This window comes from Homo sapiens, chromosome 9 (assembly GCF_000001405.40).
Source record: "Homo sapiens chromosome 9, GRCh38.p14 Primary Assembly".
Taxonomy (NCBI): domain Eukaryota; kingdom Metazoa; phylum Chordata; class Mammalia; order Primates; family Hominidae; genus Homo; species Homo sapiens.
In genome coordinates, this window is record NC_000009.12 from 111377062 (window position 1) to 111394085 (window position 17024).

The window sequence follows — 17024 nt, forward strand, 5'->3', positions numbered from 1 at the left end:
GACTAGAATTTATGTTTCCAAATTCTCAATGCTTAGTAAACATCCTATGGGCACCCAGGAAGGTGCAAGTCTACTGCTGAAAGAGGGAAAAATAATGAATGAAGAAGAAACAGCAATATTAGAGGCAAAGGGTAAAGAGAGTAAGTTATTAGAGAAGTTTAGGCAAGTTAAAGATCAAATAGTGAACAGAGGAAACATGTTGTATATAACAGGGTTTAACAGTTCTAATAAAAATATATAAATTAAAAAAACAGTCAAATAGAAAAATAGACATGGAACATAAACACAATCACAGAAGAAATATAAACGACTAATACAATATTGAAAAGGCAATGGACAATGCTAGGAAAAGAGTGCAAATCAGAAAAATGAGATTCTTGTTATCACACATACGTTATTCAACAGTGCCAAAGGTACGGAGAAAAAAAGAACACTTAAAACCTTTGATGTTGCAAAACCTCTCCATCAAAAATTCAAAATCACCTCACTGTAGAACACTATACATACATTAAAAAGAATAAGTGTATATATAGACACGATATACTGTTAATTTAAAAAACAAATCACAGAACAACATTCACGGTCTGATACTATTTTTAAATTAGTATGTTTGTTTGGTTTGGTAGCCTATGACTAAAAAGGAATTTGAGAGAAGGCACAGGAAACTTTTGACAGCAGGTGCTCCTCAGGGAATGATACTGTGGTGATTGGGAGACCTTCTATGGGATTACTTTCTATCCTTCTGTATTAACTTTTCACAATAAATATGTTTCATCTGAAGTTTTAAAAAATGACTCTGATCAGGCTGGGTGCGGTGGCTCACGCCTGTAATCCCAGCACTTTGGGAGGCTGAGGCGGGTGGATCACGAGGTCAGGAGATCAAGACCATCCTGGCTAACATGGTGAAACCCTGTCTCTACTAAAAATACAAAAAATCAGCTGGGTGTGGTGGCGCTCACCTGTAATCTCAGCTACTCGGGATGCTGAGGCAGGAGAATCGCTTGAACCTGGCAGGCAGAGGTTGCAGTGAGCCGAGATGGTGCCACTGCACTCCAGCCTGGGTGACAGAGTGATGCTCCGTCTCCAAAAAAATAAAAATAAAAATAAAAATAAAAATGACCCTGATCAGAGACCAGGTGACTCCATTACACCTAAAAAGCAGAACAATTTTGAGATATGCCAAAGTCTAGGTGCAAATACTCTTTGCTTACAGGGCGAGGGAGCCCATGGAAGGACTCTGAAGGTATAGATCCAAGCCCTAACAAAATTGAAATATACAAAAAACTATGTTAAACAAATGTTAATTCATTTTTTAGATGGAAGTGTCAGTTTTCATCCAATTCACAAGACAGTGTATGAGCTGACAACCTCTCTCCAAAAAAACAGTAAAACACTGCATGTGGTGACAGAGGGTGAGTTCTGGTAACAGTAGTGACAGTGTCATTCAAATGAACCTTGGTATCTTAACAGGGCTCTTCCCTCATGATACTTACCAATATGCCTGCGCTATCCACTCACCTTTTCTTGCTCTGTCGCCCGGAGGCTCAAATAATTGAGAACTTGGGGCTCCAATACACTTAAGGACTCTAGCAGAGCTGGAATGAGTTTTGGTGCATGCGGTTTCAACATGGCTCCTGCACTTTTGCTGATCTTCACAAGGGTGTTAATGCTACAAACATATGGAACACAACTCCTGAGTCCTTTTAACAAAAGTGAGAAGACCTACAAATCTAACCATGAGGATGTTCTGCAGTTCACTGCATTAAAGCATATTTTCACATGGTTGCAGAGCCTGGTCTGGGCATTACTTTTTTTAACTTTTATTAAAGAAACCTTGAAGCATATATAGAGGTAGGTAGAATGATAAATGAAGTAGGAAAAGCCTACCTTCATTAATAGTAGGAATGAAGTTCCATGTATTTATTTATAGTAGGAATTTATATTTATAGTGAAATTTTATGGTAGGAATTTATAGTAGGCATGAAATTCCATGTATTCTCCACCCAGTTCAACAATTAGCAACATTTGACCAATTTTGTTTCATTTATACCTCCTCCATACATACAGCCGCTATTCCCCCCTGCCACTGTATTACAGTCATGTGCTGCATGAGACATTTCAGTCAACAACAACAGACCACAATGTCCAGCAGTAGTCCCATAAGATCATACAAGAATACCTTGGGGATACTGCAGGTTCTGTTCCAGACCACCATAATAAAGAAAGCCACATGAATTTTCTAGTTTACCAGTGCATATAGAAGTTTTGTTTACACTATATTGTAGTCTATTAAGTGTGCAATAGCATTATGTCTAAAATAAAGTACATTAGTTAACTTTAAAATATCTTAATGCTACTGATCATCTCAGCTTTCAGCGAGTCATTATCTTTTTGCTGGTGGAGGGTCCTACCTCAATGGTGATGCCTACTGACTAATCAGGGTGGTGTTTGCTGAATGCTGGCGTGGCTGTCGTAATTTCTTAAAATAAGTCAACAATGAAGTTCGCTGCATCAATCAACTCCTCCTTTCACAAAATAATTCTTTGTAGCATGAGATGCAGTTTGATAGCATTTTGCCCACATTAGAACGTCTTTCAAAGTTAGAGTCAATCCTCTCCAACCCTGTTGTTGCTTTATCAACTAAGTTTATGAAATATTCTAAATCCTTTGTGGTCATTTTAACAATGTTCACAGAATCTTCACCAGGAGTAGCTTGCATCTCATGAAACCACTTTCTTTGCTCATCGATAAGAAGCAACTCCTCTTCTGTTCAAGTTTCATCAGGAGATTGCAACAATTCAGTCACGTCTTCAGGCCCCACTTACGATTTCCACCACATATGCAGTGACTTTCTCCAATGACATCTTGAACCCCTCAAAGTCATCCATGAAAGTTGGAATCAACTTCTTCCAAACTATTAATGACATTTTGACCTCCTCCCATGAATCATGAATGTTCTTAACAGCACCTACAATGGTAAGCCCTTTCCAGAAGGTTTTCAATTTACTTTGCCCAGATCCATCAAAGGAATCACTATCAATGGCAGCTCTAGCCTTACAAAATATACTTCTTGAATAGTAAGACTTGAAAGTTGAAATTACACCTTGATCCATGGGCTTCAGAATGGATGTTGTGTTATGCTAACAGCCATGAAAACATTCATTTCCTTGTACCTCTCTATCAGAGCTTTTGGGTGACCAGGCACACTGTCAATGAGCAGTAATACTTTGAAAGGAATCTTTGGGGTTTTTTTTGGTTTGGTTTTTGTTTTGTTGTTATTTTTTTGTTTGTTTGTTTTTTGTTTTTGTTTTTTTAGCAGTAGGCCTCAACAGTGGACTTAAAATACTCAGTAAACCATGCTGTTAACAGATAAGCTGTCATCCAGACTTTGTTGTTCCATTTCTAGAGCACAGAGCAGATTTAGCAGAATTCTTAAGGCTTTAGGATTTTCAGAATGGTAAATGAGCACTGGCTTCAACTTAGTCACCAGCTGCATTGGCCCCTAACAAGACAGTCAGCCTGGCCTTTGAAGCGTTGCAGCCGGGCACTGACTTCTCTCTAGCTAGGAAAATCCTACATGGTATCTTTTGCCAACAAAAGGCTATTTCATCTCCATTGAAAATCTGTTGTTGAGTGTAGACACCTTTATCAGTGATCTTAGCTAGATCTTCTGGATAACCTGCTGCAGCTTCTGTATCAGCAACTGCTGCTTCACCTTGCATCTTTATGTTATGAAGACAGCTTCTTTCCTTAAACCTCATGAGCCAACCTCTGCTAGCTTCCAACTTTTCTTCTGCAGCTTCCTTACTTCTCTTAGACTTCACAGAATTGAAGAGAGTTAGGGCCTTGCTCTGGATTAGGCTTTGGCTGAAGGGAATTTTGTGGCTGATTTGATCTTCTATCCAGAATATTCAAACTTTCTCCCTGTTAGCAAAAGGCTGTTTTGCTTTCTTATCATTTGTGTGTTGGCTAACATAGCACTTTAAACTTCGTTTAAGAACATTTCCTTTACATTCACAACTTGGCTGTTTGGCACAAGAGGCCTAGCTTTCAGCCTATCTCAGCTTTCATGACATCCCTTCCTCACTAAGCTTAATCATTTCTAGCTTTCTATTTAAAGTAAGAGACAGGCAACTCTTCCCTTCATTTAGACAGAGGGCATTGTGGGGTTATTAATTAGCCTAATTCCAATATTGTTGTGTCTCAGGGAATGAGACATTTGAGAAGAGGGAGAGAGATGGGGAACAGCTGTTCAGTGGAGCAATCAGGACACACACAACACTGACCAATTAAGTTCACCATCTTAAATGGGTGTAGTTCATACAACTCCAAAACAATTACAAAATAACATCAAAGATCACTGATCACAGATCACCAAAACAGATATAATAGTAATGCAAAGTATGAAATACCGTGAGAATTACCAAAATATGACATAGAGATATGAAGTGAACAGATTTGTGGCAACCCTGCATCAAGCAATCTAACTGCACCATTTTTCCAACTTCATGTTAATGTGTGCACAACCATGAAATCACCTAACGACACATTTCTCAGAAATATCCTTGTCACTAAGTGACGTGTGACTGCATTTGAAAGCATATCCCTTAACTAAACTTCACTATGAATATCTAAAAGCAAAGGCTCTTTATCATAATCATAATACCATTTTCACACTTTAAAAATATTAATGATTTTTTCATATCAAGTATCCAAATTTCTCTGTTTCATTAGCTTCTTAAACAGTTGGCATGTTTGAATCAGGATCCAAGCTCACTCACACATTGCAATCTACTGCATTTCTTAAATCTTTTTTAACAGTCTCCACTCTCCTCTTTTTTTCTTCTTCGTCCTCTTTGATTGTATTCCAGTCATGTCATTTAACATGTTCCTCTTTCCCCTGCACAGATCTACAGGCTAAACTGAGTTCACGTTCAATTTTGTAAAACACACACACACACACACACACACACACACACAAAGAATCCTTCCTAGGCAATGCTGTGTGTCCTATTCCTCCTATTCCATCACATCACCATGCACTGGTTGTCTTTTTGTGCTATAAGGAGTGATTGGTAGGTTCAGGTCTGGTTGCCCTGAATCATTATAAAGTTCTCTTCAGCCATTCACCCAGTGGATTTAGGGGCATCTAATGATCACTACTTAGATTATTTTACTGAGGAGAGCAAAAAGTGATACTTTTTTTTTTTTTTTTTTTTTGAGACAGAGTTTCGTTCTTGTTGTCCAGGCTGGAGTGCAATGGCGCAATCTGGGCTCACCGCAACCTCCGCCTCCTGGGTTCAAGCGACTCTCCTGCCTCAGCCTCCCAAGTAGCTGGGATTACAGGCATGCACCACCACACCCGGCTAATTTTTTTTGTATTTTTAGTAGAGATGGGGTTTCTCCATGTTGGCCAGGTTGGTCTCAAACTCCCAACCTCAAGTGATCCGCCCACCTCGGCCTCCCAAAGTGCTGGGATTACAGGCACCAGCCACCAGGCCCAGCCAAAGTGACACTCTTAATTGCGTCATGCCTTTGCATTTGTTAGGTGAGTCCTTCTAAAAAAAAAACTCTTTCATCAACTATCTACTTGCCATGAAATACCACTGGCAGTATTATTAATAATTTGTTCTACTCTTAAGAGTGAAATAACAATGGAACAGATAAAGTTCCTAGACAGCACTGTACTTTAAAAACAAACAAAACATACAAACTAGAATCCTACACTATTGGTTTTAACTTAAAGTAGTCATATATTATATCAAAACGTGTAAGTACATTTTTTGAATATTTCATCGTTGCAGGTGGTAAACAGCTTCTCTTAAATCTAATAATCTGTGAAATATTACTAAATATTATAATGAACAAACATGCTCCTGAGGACCTACAGTGTAACAGGAAGACGTGCTTGTTGGGAGCAGAGGCTGATGACAACAGAACAACACGCTTGACTCAGAATGCTAGGCAAAAATAAGGTCTCATGAGAATGTTTCTGTGAAAATATTGTGACTCACAAGTTTTCACAAATGACCCAAGGGTCATTCTCCTAAACCTCTTTCTCCATATTTTCCAGAATCTAACCTTGAAAGAAACACAATTTCTAGGAACTGAGCAAATCCAATACATTCATTTCATCAACGGATGCACACCTGAGGGCTCGAACTTCCGTCACGGTGCTCATCATTCCTTTGTCCAGAAGGCAAGGCAGAAGGGCAGCGATGGTTCTCTGGCCAGCTGCTCCTTTGGCAGGGTCACACATTTTCACACAGACCTCACATACAAAGAGCATGGACGTTAGTGAAAGTGACCGCGCATCCAATAAAGAATTCATCTGACAAAAGACTTTCTACTTCACATATCTACAGGGAAGAATAAGTGAATCTACTTTCTCTGACACTACAGAGACACAGAGGAATGAGATCGGAGATTGAGTCCTAGGTCTGCCAAGAACTAAACAGAAAATTTGGTAATGCATTTCACTCTCTAAGCACTGGTCCTCCAATTTGTGAAATACAGAACAAAACAGATGATGATCAAACCAGGAAATATGTAAGAAAGCACTTTAAAAAAGGTTTAGGGCTGGGTGCAGTAGCCGGCGCCTATAAAGCCAGCACTTTGGGAGGCCGAGGCAGGCGGATTGCTTGAGCCCAGGAGTTTGAGACCAGCCTGGGCAACATGAAGAGACCCTGTCTCTACAAAAAGTATGAAAAATTAGCCAGGCATGGTGGCATACACCTGTGGTCCCAGCTCTCCAGGAGGCTGAGGTGGGAGGATCTCCTGACCCCGGCAGGTCGAGACTACAGTGAGTCGTGATCACGCCACTGCATTCCAGCCTGGGTGACAGAGTAAGACCTTGTCTCAAAAAAAAATTAAAATAAAAAATTAAATAAAGAAGTTTTGAAGTGTTATCATCATCATCATCATCATCATCATCAATAACGCTGGGTCACAGCACAATATAGTGGTCAAGATCACATGTGAAACAGGAAAACACCTGTATTTAAAACCTGGTTTTACTATTTATGTGACCTATGGCAAGGTTTGTGCAACTAGAATGTAAAGTTCCTGATATATCACAAAATCAAGTTCAAGTGGGAGATAATTTAGTTTCAAAAAGCTTTCCAACCTCACAAATATGAAAGGTAGCTTTATATATAAACACAGCAAAAGCAAGAGAAAAGACAGGTGTTGCTTGATCTGAGTGATGTGCTCTTCAGGGTTAAGTCGAAGTTTTATCTTAATTTCACCATTTAAAGAGACCACAGTATACTCTGTTCAACACACTAGTACTGCAGTGTTTACAGCACTCACTTTCTCATTCATTCTAAGAGCAGTGAACTACAACATGAAGCCAATTATACTGCAACTAAATGTCTTTTCCTATGACAGTAAGTAAATCATTGTCATGGTCACCCAGAACCCTGCTCCACTCCATTCCCAATGTAAGACGGGGTTTTCACCTTGCTCAGAGTTTTCAGAGCTAGTTCTGCCGCTTTTCGTACAGATTCCTAAAAATGACAAAAGTGTGACATCATACAAGTTAGAGAGTTTCACTATCATCTACTCTACAATTTGCAATTTAATTGCCTCAGGCCCTACAGAGATTTGGTGGAAAATCTTACATTTCATATCATGTTAAAAAAATTGGTATCTCATCAGACTCTCTGCCCATCAAGGAACACATTACCATGCCATACTATTAATTTTTAAACATTAACTGTAACCTATTTTGACCTTAAAAAATTTAGCTATTAACAGTTGAGAAACTAAATGTATTATAAAAGTAAATACATAAAGATCTATGTGAGAATTCTGAAACACTTAAAAGCCTCCAATAAATAAAGCAAAAAGAAAGGTAAAACTGAAGTGCCTAATTTTAATGGTAAAATACCAAAATACCTAAAATTAAGATTGCCCAAGAAAAATTCAGAGGAATTGGCCACATTACTTGAGAATAATTAATCCCATTTACAGAACTGATCAAAATACTGTTACTATGTCCAAAACTGTTATTTGTCCCTAATCCAATAGAATCATGAGATCTCTATTGAAAGAAGGTATACAGCCACCTTTTTTTTCCCTAAGTCTATTTAATTTAGATCTAAGGATACCCAACCTTGCAACTTCACAGACACATTAAGACTGAAACTTTGGGGGAAAACGTTGGTCTCTTAAAATTATCTGGAAATGGAATTTTGACATACACAACATAAATATTTTAATAATTCCAATTTAACTTTTTGTATATATAAATGCTGATTTATTTCTATAATACCTTGATATCATCTTGTACTCTAAAAAGCGTTTCCCAAATTTCTGGAAGTTTATCAATGATGTCATCTAAGGGTCTTCCTCTCAATAAATCATTCAAAGCTAAACAGCTGAAAATCAAAATTTCATTTCAATATATGATGAAAAAGGTCAGTATTTTACTATGAAACATTTATACTAAAAAAGAATACAGATTCTGCCTCTAATTCGAGTTCTCATCCCCTCACCCCAAAACAGCAATGACTTCTCTCCAGGTCCCTCAAATATACCATATATATATGTAATTTACAATTATAAAATGCTTGTTTCCCACAACTATAATACAATCCCTTTGAGATGACACATCGTTTTTTATTCACCAGTGTGCCTCCAAGGCCTAGCACACTGCCACATACACACTGGGCACCGAATGAATCTAACTTGTATACAGAAATGCTATACTATAAAGTCATGACAATACAAAATACATCTTGGTGTCTACCAATTTAACAGGTAATCTTCAACTTCTTTGATTTCATACTTACATAAACTATGACAATTTAGGAAAATCATTGACCAAAGCTTAAACAGTTAAAGAAAAATAACTAATGTAGCCAACAAGAAATATGCTTTTTGGTAGTTTTTTGTTTTGCTTTGTTTTGAGACAGAGTCTCATCTCATTCTGTCGCCCAGGCTGGAGTTCAATGGCACAATCTCGGCTCACTGCAACCTCTGCCCCCTGGCTGGGTTCAAGCGATTCTCCTGCCTCAGCCTCCCATGTAGCTGGGACTACATGCACATGCCACTGGGCCCAGCTGATTTTTGTATTTTTAGTAGAGACGGGGTTTCACCATGTTGCCCACGCTGGTCTTGAACTCCTCACCTCAGGTGATCCACCCACCTCAGCCTCCCCATGTGCTGGGATCACAGGTGTGAGCCACCACGCCCGGCCAGCTTTTTAGTAGTTTTAATTTATTCCTTTTGCACAAAGTATAAAACCTAGAAATTTTGAAGGGAAAAAAATTCAGTTTTATTTGACTAAACTTATATTCCTAAAAACGGTACCTGGATTCTCGAACTCGCCACATATTGCTTGTAAGGTTCTTAACCAAATCTTGAAGAATTTCTTTCAAATATTTATCCACCTAATGAAAGCAAAAGGATAAAATTTAAAATGCAAAATCCATCAATAATCAAATTACTCAACTCTTAACCACACTGGTTAACCACACTTAACCACACTGACCATGTTTCTATATTTTACGGCCTCCATGTCTCTCTAGGCCACTCAGCCCACAAATCTCTTCCCACTTTGGTCACTATAAAGCTGCCAGGTGATCATTCTAAAATGTACATTTGATGCTTTTATTTTCCTCAGTGCATGAGAATGAAGTCCATTCACCCAGGCATGCACACAAAGCCTTCCATGACTCATCCAGACCCAAAAGTACCATATTCTGTCTCACCTCCATTCCTTGGCACATGCCACCTCTCCCTACAATCCCCTTCCCAGGTCCTACTTGCTTGGCTAACTCCTACTTGTCCTTCAAGGTTCATATTAGCCATCCTTTCCCAGAGAAGATTAGCTTGGGTACTCTCCTCTCTGTTCCCATAGCACCTTCTGAAGAAGCATCACACAAAATCATACAATAACTGTACTATTTCACTATACTGCAGACCCTCAAGGGGGTCGGGTGCAGTTATTGTACAGGACAGTGCAGTTACTGAAGGACAGAGTCTCACTCATCGTCAGTGCAGTTATTGAGGGACACAGTCTCACTCATCATCAGTGCAGTTACTGAGGGACAGAGTCTCACTCATCATCAGTGCAGTTATTGAGGGACAGAGTCTCACTCATCATCAGTGCAGTTATTGAGGGACAGTGTCTCACTCATCATCAGTGCAGTTACTGAGGGACAGAGTCTCACTCAACATCAGTGCAGTTACTGAGAGACAGTGTCTCACTCATCATCAGTGCAGTTATTGAGGGACAGAGTCTCACTCATCGTCAGTGCAGTTATTGAGGGACAGAGTCTCACTCATCGTCAGTGCAGTTATTGAGGGACAGAGTCTCACTCATCGTCAGTGCAGTTACTGAGAGACAGTGTCTCACTCATCGTCAGTGCAGTTATTGAGGGACAGTGTCTCGCTCATCGTCAGTGCAGTTATTGAGGAACAGAGTCTCACTCATCATCAGTGCAGTTATTGAGGGACAGAGTCTCACTCATCATCAGTGCAGTTACTGAGGGACACTGTCTCACTCACTGTCAGTGCAGTTACTGAGGGACACAGTCTCACTCACCATCAGTGCAGTTACTGAGAGACAGTGTCTCACTCATCATCAGTGCAGTTACTGAGGGACAGAGTCTCACTCATCGTCAGTGCAGTTACTGAGAGACAGTGTCTCACTCGTCAGTGCAGTTATTGAGGGACAGTGTCTCACTCATCGTCAGTGCAGTTATTGAGGGACAGAGTCTCACTCATCATCAGTGCAGTTATTGAGGGACAGAGTCTCACTCATCGTCAGTGCAGTTATTGAGGGACAGAGTCTCACTCATCAACAGTGCAGTTACTGAGGGACAGTGTCTCACTCATCATCAGTGCAGTTATTGAGGGACAGAGTCTCACTCATCTTTTTATCCCCAGTACCTTACCCAGTGCCTGGTTCATGACTGTTCAGAATGAAAGATGAGTTTTACTTTTTAAGCCTCTGTTCTGTTTTGATATACACTTAGCAACTTGGTAATAATGACAAAATAATGGTAGAATCAGTCTTATACCAATGCTGACATTCTCAAAAATTTACGGCTTTTCCACTTTTGTAGGTAGGAAAGGTTTTGTTATCCTTACTTACATGTAAGAAAACCAAGACAAAGAGGTAAATAACAAACTGATGTCTTCCTATGTCTGCTTCTCTCAACATTCTCCATGGATGATCTCATCCACACTTGTGGCTTAATCCTTTCACTTATAGAGATGACACTCACGTCTCAAGGGTCTAGGCTTGTGTCCTGAGCTCAGACCTACAAAGCCCACTGGCCTACTAGATCTTGGCTGACCCAAAAGTGCCACATGTTCTCCTGGAGCAAGCAAAACTCATTGAGTCTTCAAAGCTGAACCCTCAAGTACCTACCACCAAGAATAGAAACATATTCAGCCTAGTACCAGACAGGAGAGACAGGAAGGGGCCACATTACGGGCAGGGACTTGTAAGACATAGTAAGGATCATGGAATTTATTTAAAGTGAGCTGTAAAGCTACTAAAGGATTTTAACCCAAAATGGCACAATCTAACTTGCATTTTTAAAAATTACTTTTGCTACTATGTAGATAATTAAATGAAGAACGGCAAAGAGGAAAAAAAAAGATGATGATGACCTATTCATCAGTAAAGAATTAGGGAAAGAAGAGAGTAGATTCAAGGAATACTTTGGAAGCAGAATCAACAGAATTTGCTACTAGATTCAATTGGGGGTGGTGGTGAGACACAGATCAAAATAAAGTATGACACCAAGTTTTCTGGCTTGGGCAAATAGGTAAACAGTGAGAGTAGAGGGGGAAGGTTATTTTTTAAGTCCTGTTCTGGGCATGTTGGGTTTATGGTATTCTGAAACAACACTGAAGTGAAATTTTCAAGTAAACAGTTACATATGCATGTCTAAAGTGCAAGTGACATCTGGACCAAAAGTGTAAGGTTGGGAACTTTCACAATAAAGATGACATTTACATGCCTTGGAACTGATTGATATAGAGAAGGCTCAGAGAGCAAAAGATACTCAGAGACAAGCCCTGAGAAATCTTAATATCTAAAAGTGGGACAGAACATGATTAACAGCCAGATGAGAGGACACCAACAGAGAAAACAAAATGGCAATTGCCTGCTTCCTTGTCTGTCTCCCCAGCTAACTGAATTCATTGGAGATGGGACTATGACCCATTCTCCATTCCATCAACAGTCCCTATCCACATTTACTATTCCATTTGTGTGAATACATAATCATTTCCTTAACCATCTTCCCAGTGGACATTTATATTGTTTCCCTTTTGGAGATTTCAATAAATGTTGCCATACACATCTTTGATACCTTGAAAGAAGGAAGAAAGCATGGAATGAAAGACAATTTATTTGTTTAAACAAGTAAACATAAAAAGTAGAAAGGAAGATGGACACTGGGTTTAAATCCTATGCATGACCCTGGACAGTCTACAGTGTTTTCCTAACACAGGGGTTCACAGACACTTACCATGGATTTGTCAGTGACCAACGCATTCCAAATACTTGTCATGGCCTGTCGAATGCCAAGGTTGGGATCAAACTGGTAACGATAAAGTCGAGGAACTAGCTGAGGCAGAAAAGGAGCCAGCTGCTCTCCAGCTCTGGTAGCAATTACATTAAAACCAAAAGCAGCACCCTAAAAATAATAGGCTGAAGTGACTCAGATGCACCATTATAGTAAAATATTAACATAGCAAAAAATTCTCCCTCCAAACTTATGCCTAAATACAGCCTGATTTATTGGTCTTTCCAATCAACAGCATTTGTGGGGTTCAGCTTTCTCATCAGGCACAGACTTTCACAAAATGCACTACATACCATTTGCCACTGTCTGCCAATGTAGCATGTTTGGTTTGCATGAAAAAAATAAATAATTGTCCAGTGATAGCAACTTACCTTCCTAGAGTTCCACATTGCATGATGGTTGGCTAAATTCATAAATTTATACACCAGATCTGGCTGGCTAAGATCACTTGCCAGAGAACAAAGTTCCTTGTAAGTAGAAAGGCCCTGACTTGGAAACAAAGAAAAAGAGGTAGGCAATAATACACTTCTCTCTCTCCAGCCTAAAAAATTACATCATCAATATTACTAGGACATACTAAAATCAAATTTTCACTCAATTTCTAATACTGAGTTATCACCATGGAGACAGAACACAAGTTAGTAAGAATATAAAAAGTCACCTAATTCAACTATTAGCAATTCCTAAGCCCCTCTACATTGCTGCTGATAAATGACCTAAATGCACCTCTAAGTCCATAGCCACGGTCCACTCACCACCTGGAGATGCAACTCAATAATTCTTCATTATGTTATGCATAATCTCACGTGATCATAAGAGAGTCATTGGAAGACAACATCTGTCTTCCCTAAGTCTTTTCTAAGCTAGACCACCCTAATTCTGATTGAGTCTTGTTAACTTTCCTCTGAACAAATAATATTGGCTCAAATATCTAATTGTTTTGTTATTTTGTAAAATGTAAGCACTTTTTTAAAAACTTAGAAGGAGTCTACAAGGAGAGTTAAGTACAATGAAAACAACTTTTGATGTGATAACAGTGTACTGTGGGGGAACGTCAACGATGGAACAAACTGCAGCTTTCTCCTGCTGCAGACAACAATGAAGCAGGCTCGTGTGTGACACCACAGCAAGGCCCTGCAACCAGCAAAGATTTGCCTAACGATCCGTAGAAATAAAGCATGATAAAATAAAGGCGGTCAAGCTCAAGGAATTTATTTTAAATGCTAAAGTAGTGGCCTCTAAGATAAAGAATTACACCCACCCAAAACTAGCGGCAGTGGGTGCACCTAGCTATGCTTCCAGGTGTTCTGCAGGACTCAGCTGCCTGAGAGCTGACAGCTGTTGGCCTAGTCAGTCTCCCACAACTGCCCTGAGAGCCCAACATCATGGGCTCCCACGCAGCAGCCCACCACCAATGGCTGGTCACTGAGAGGACATAAAGGGCCAGGCTCCATGCCTCAAAGCAGAACAACTCCGAAAGGCCACCTGTGCCAGCTCAGAGCTCCTCAAGAGGCTGGTATCCACTGAAACGATGGTAGCAGTTCCGCCCCTCCCTCAGTCATAGGCCCTATCCTGCCTCCTCATCCCCCCAGAGTGACCCCTAGGGCACTCCCCAGTAAATTTCCCACACAGAAATCTAACTCAGAGTTTGTTTCCCAGGACACTCAATTTAAGACGTCAGCCTGCCAGGCACAGTGGCTCACGCCTGTAATCCCAGCACTTTGGGAGGCCGAGGTGGGTGGATCTCCTGAGGTCAGGAGTTTGACACCAGCCTGACCAACATAGTGAAACCCCGTCTCTACTAAAATACAAAAATTAGCCAGGCGTGGTGGCAGGTGCCTGTAATCTCAGTTACCTGGGAAGCTGAGGTAGGAGAATCTATCGCTTGAACCCAGGAGGCGGAGGTTGCAGTGAGCCGAGATTACTCCACTGCACTCCAGCCTAGGCAACAAAAGTGAGGCTCCATCTCAAAAAAAAAAAAAAAGACATCAGACTTTTTTCCATGTAAGTTTTCTTCTTCCACCAATAGATAACATTTCCTAAGAGGGTAGAAATCAACTTCATGACTGCTCTATTTACCAGACTAATAAATGCATATATATATTTAAAGATGTTTACCATTCAATGGATTTAGCATACTTACCCATCTGGTGTTTTGCCAAGAGCTCCCCCTTGAAATACCACTGTCTCTCCAGAAACTTCATGTTTAACTCTAAACCAAAACAATAATTTCAATAAGCTTCAAGCTTTTCATACCAACATTCAACTAGCCAATACGATTCATTTACAAAGTGATAAAACTTCCTATCAAGCATTTACTGTGTACAAGATATAAAAGTCCTTTCCGGCCGGGCGCGGTGGCTCACACCTATAATCCCAGCACTTTGGGAGGCCGAGGTGGGTGGATCACTAGGTCAGGAGTTCGAGGCTATTCTGACTAACATGGTGAAACGCCATCTCTACTAAAAATACAAAAAATTAGCCGGGCATGGTGGCACGCGCCTGTAGTCCCAGCTACTCGGGAGGCTGAGGCGGGAGAGTCACCTGAACCAGGGAGGCAGAGGTTGCAGTGAGCTGACATCGTGCCACTGCACTCCAGCCTGGGCAACAGAGCAAGACTACAACAACAACAACAAAAAACAGCCCTTTCCAACAGGCTGCAAATTTTATAAAATGAATTCAGAATGAACAAATTAACAGATGAAAAAGACATTTCACATAATTTCCACTGAATTAAATGTGGTAGCACATGAAAAACTATCCTTCCTACAAGGGAGGCAACATGAAGCAGCAATCCCTTACACAGATGATTTCCCCTCACACTCTTCACGGGTTAGACTATGAATGATATGCAAGCTTCTTCTCCGTATCTTAACTTCCATTTAGCCAACAGTAATTACGGCATTTTTCTAACCCAATACATTATCTGAGACCATTAAACTTTCGACGCTTGACCTAGTGGCATGCTCCTAAAGTTAACAGTATACCCTGGAATAATTGTGCTATCCACAGCACAACAATTATGGACTCGCAACTTAGAAAAGGCTTCATAAACCAAAACATGGAAAGCCGAATCTTCCTTCTCCAGCATCTTCTCACTATGTGTAGAGACTTCCTCTATGGGCTTGAATCTAAAATTTTCAAGTTCACCATACCTTTTGCCAGTCATAAGTGTTTCCACAAGTGTAGAAACCAATTCCTGTTGATCTTGTTCATTGCCTAGTTCATAAACCAACCCAAGGCCCTTTGATGCAACATCTTGGCTAAGTTCTACAAGAAAGTCAGACAAGATTGTATCACTTTAAAAAAAATTTTGTCTACTTGCTATGAAATCAAAATTTTTAAAGTTATGTTGACACTGACCCAAAATGATATCAAAGTAAAGATATAAAAACAGAATCAATATGCCTATTTTGTTAAAAATAATAATCATTTCAGGGGACATGGCACCACACAAGTTACTGTAAATGAGAACCACATTCACAGAAGATCCAGTTCACAAATCTAGACAATACTGATGGACCTATACAGTGTCACTGGACAGTGCAGCGACAGATTATCCATGGGCTGTAAGTCATACATCAGAGATAAAACAGCCTCACAAGATCTCAATACACTCAGACCTAACTTTTAAAAGTCAATGCAAGACCATATGTTTAAAACAAGTTATAAAACAAAGCTTAGTACTGAAAGATTTAACACATATACGTTCACTCTCTCCTAGCTTAAATCAGAGAGGAAAAGTAACCAGAGGCAGAAAAAAGCTATTAGGAGAGATACTAATGTTAAAGAAGGCCTCGGCTCCATTTTAAAATGCAGAGTTGAGGAACATGTTCTAATGTATAAACCAATAAATGAGAAAGAATCTAAGTTTCCTGTATCCTAACTAGAAATTTTGGTTTCTAAACATTAACATAATGCTTATCCTTACTACTAACAAATAAGGTTTAATAATTGTTTTAATCACACAGCTCAAGAAAGTTTTCTTTCATGTTCATTAATCCAGGTTTTTGAACATTTAAAATACAAGTTCAATTAAGTTTAGAAATCAAATATTAACAACCTACCATCATTTTCTGATAGAACTGAAACAAATGCACTTTGAATTTCTTTAAGATGAGACTGAAAGAAGAAAAAAGGCATTAGAACACTGAAACTCTACCTCTTTGAGAGAATAAGAGTCTTGCTCTCACCGTGTACAAAATTTGTAGTCTTATTATCCAAGCCAGTTACAATCGCTGTTTTGCTCTCATCTTTACAGGTGGCCCAAATCACCTGGAGCTGCACCACTTACACGTAGTCTAACACATGCAAGCTGACCACTGCCCCAACTGAGCCTTCCTATCTCAAGCACTTCTGACTTTATTCCTTCAAGGCTAGAATCATCTTCCAGCCTATATACATCAGGCCACCATCCTTCATTCCTTCATGTACAATGTATTTCAAAATACCTACTATTGGTTAATGACCTTC

The 17024-nt window shown here is 39.7% G+C and overlaps 1 protein-coding gene across 11 annotated transcripts in view; it reads right to left on the reverse strand.

The window, feature by feature from the left end:
* Positions 1-17024, reverse strand: part of ECPAS (Ecm29 proteasome adaptor and scaffold) — a 123699-nt gene that overhangs the window by 16377 nt on the left and 90298 nt on the right. For all 11 annotated transcript variants that reach the window (NM_001363756.2, NM_001364929.1, XM_047423107.1 and 8 more), the window contains 10 exons: positions 16619-16673; positions 15707-15821; positions 14695-14763; positions 12923-13040; positions 12495-12662; positions 9316-9395; positions 8276-8381; positions 7461-7508; positions 6150-6271; positions 1519-1669 (listed from right to left, as the gene is read on the reverse strand). In NM_001363756.2, the coding sequence (NP_001350685.1) occupies positions 1519-1669; positions 6150-6271; positions 7461-7508; positions 8276-8381; positions 9316-9395; positions 12495-12662; positions 12923-13040; positions 14695-14763; positions 15707-15821; positions 16619-16673 (1032 nt within the window). The remainder of the gene's footprint in view (positions 1-1518; positions 1670-6149; positions 6272-7460; positions 7509-8275; positions 8382-9315; positions 9396-12494; positions 12663-12922; positions 13041-14694; positions 14764-15706; positions 15822-16618; positions 16674-17024) is intronic.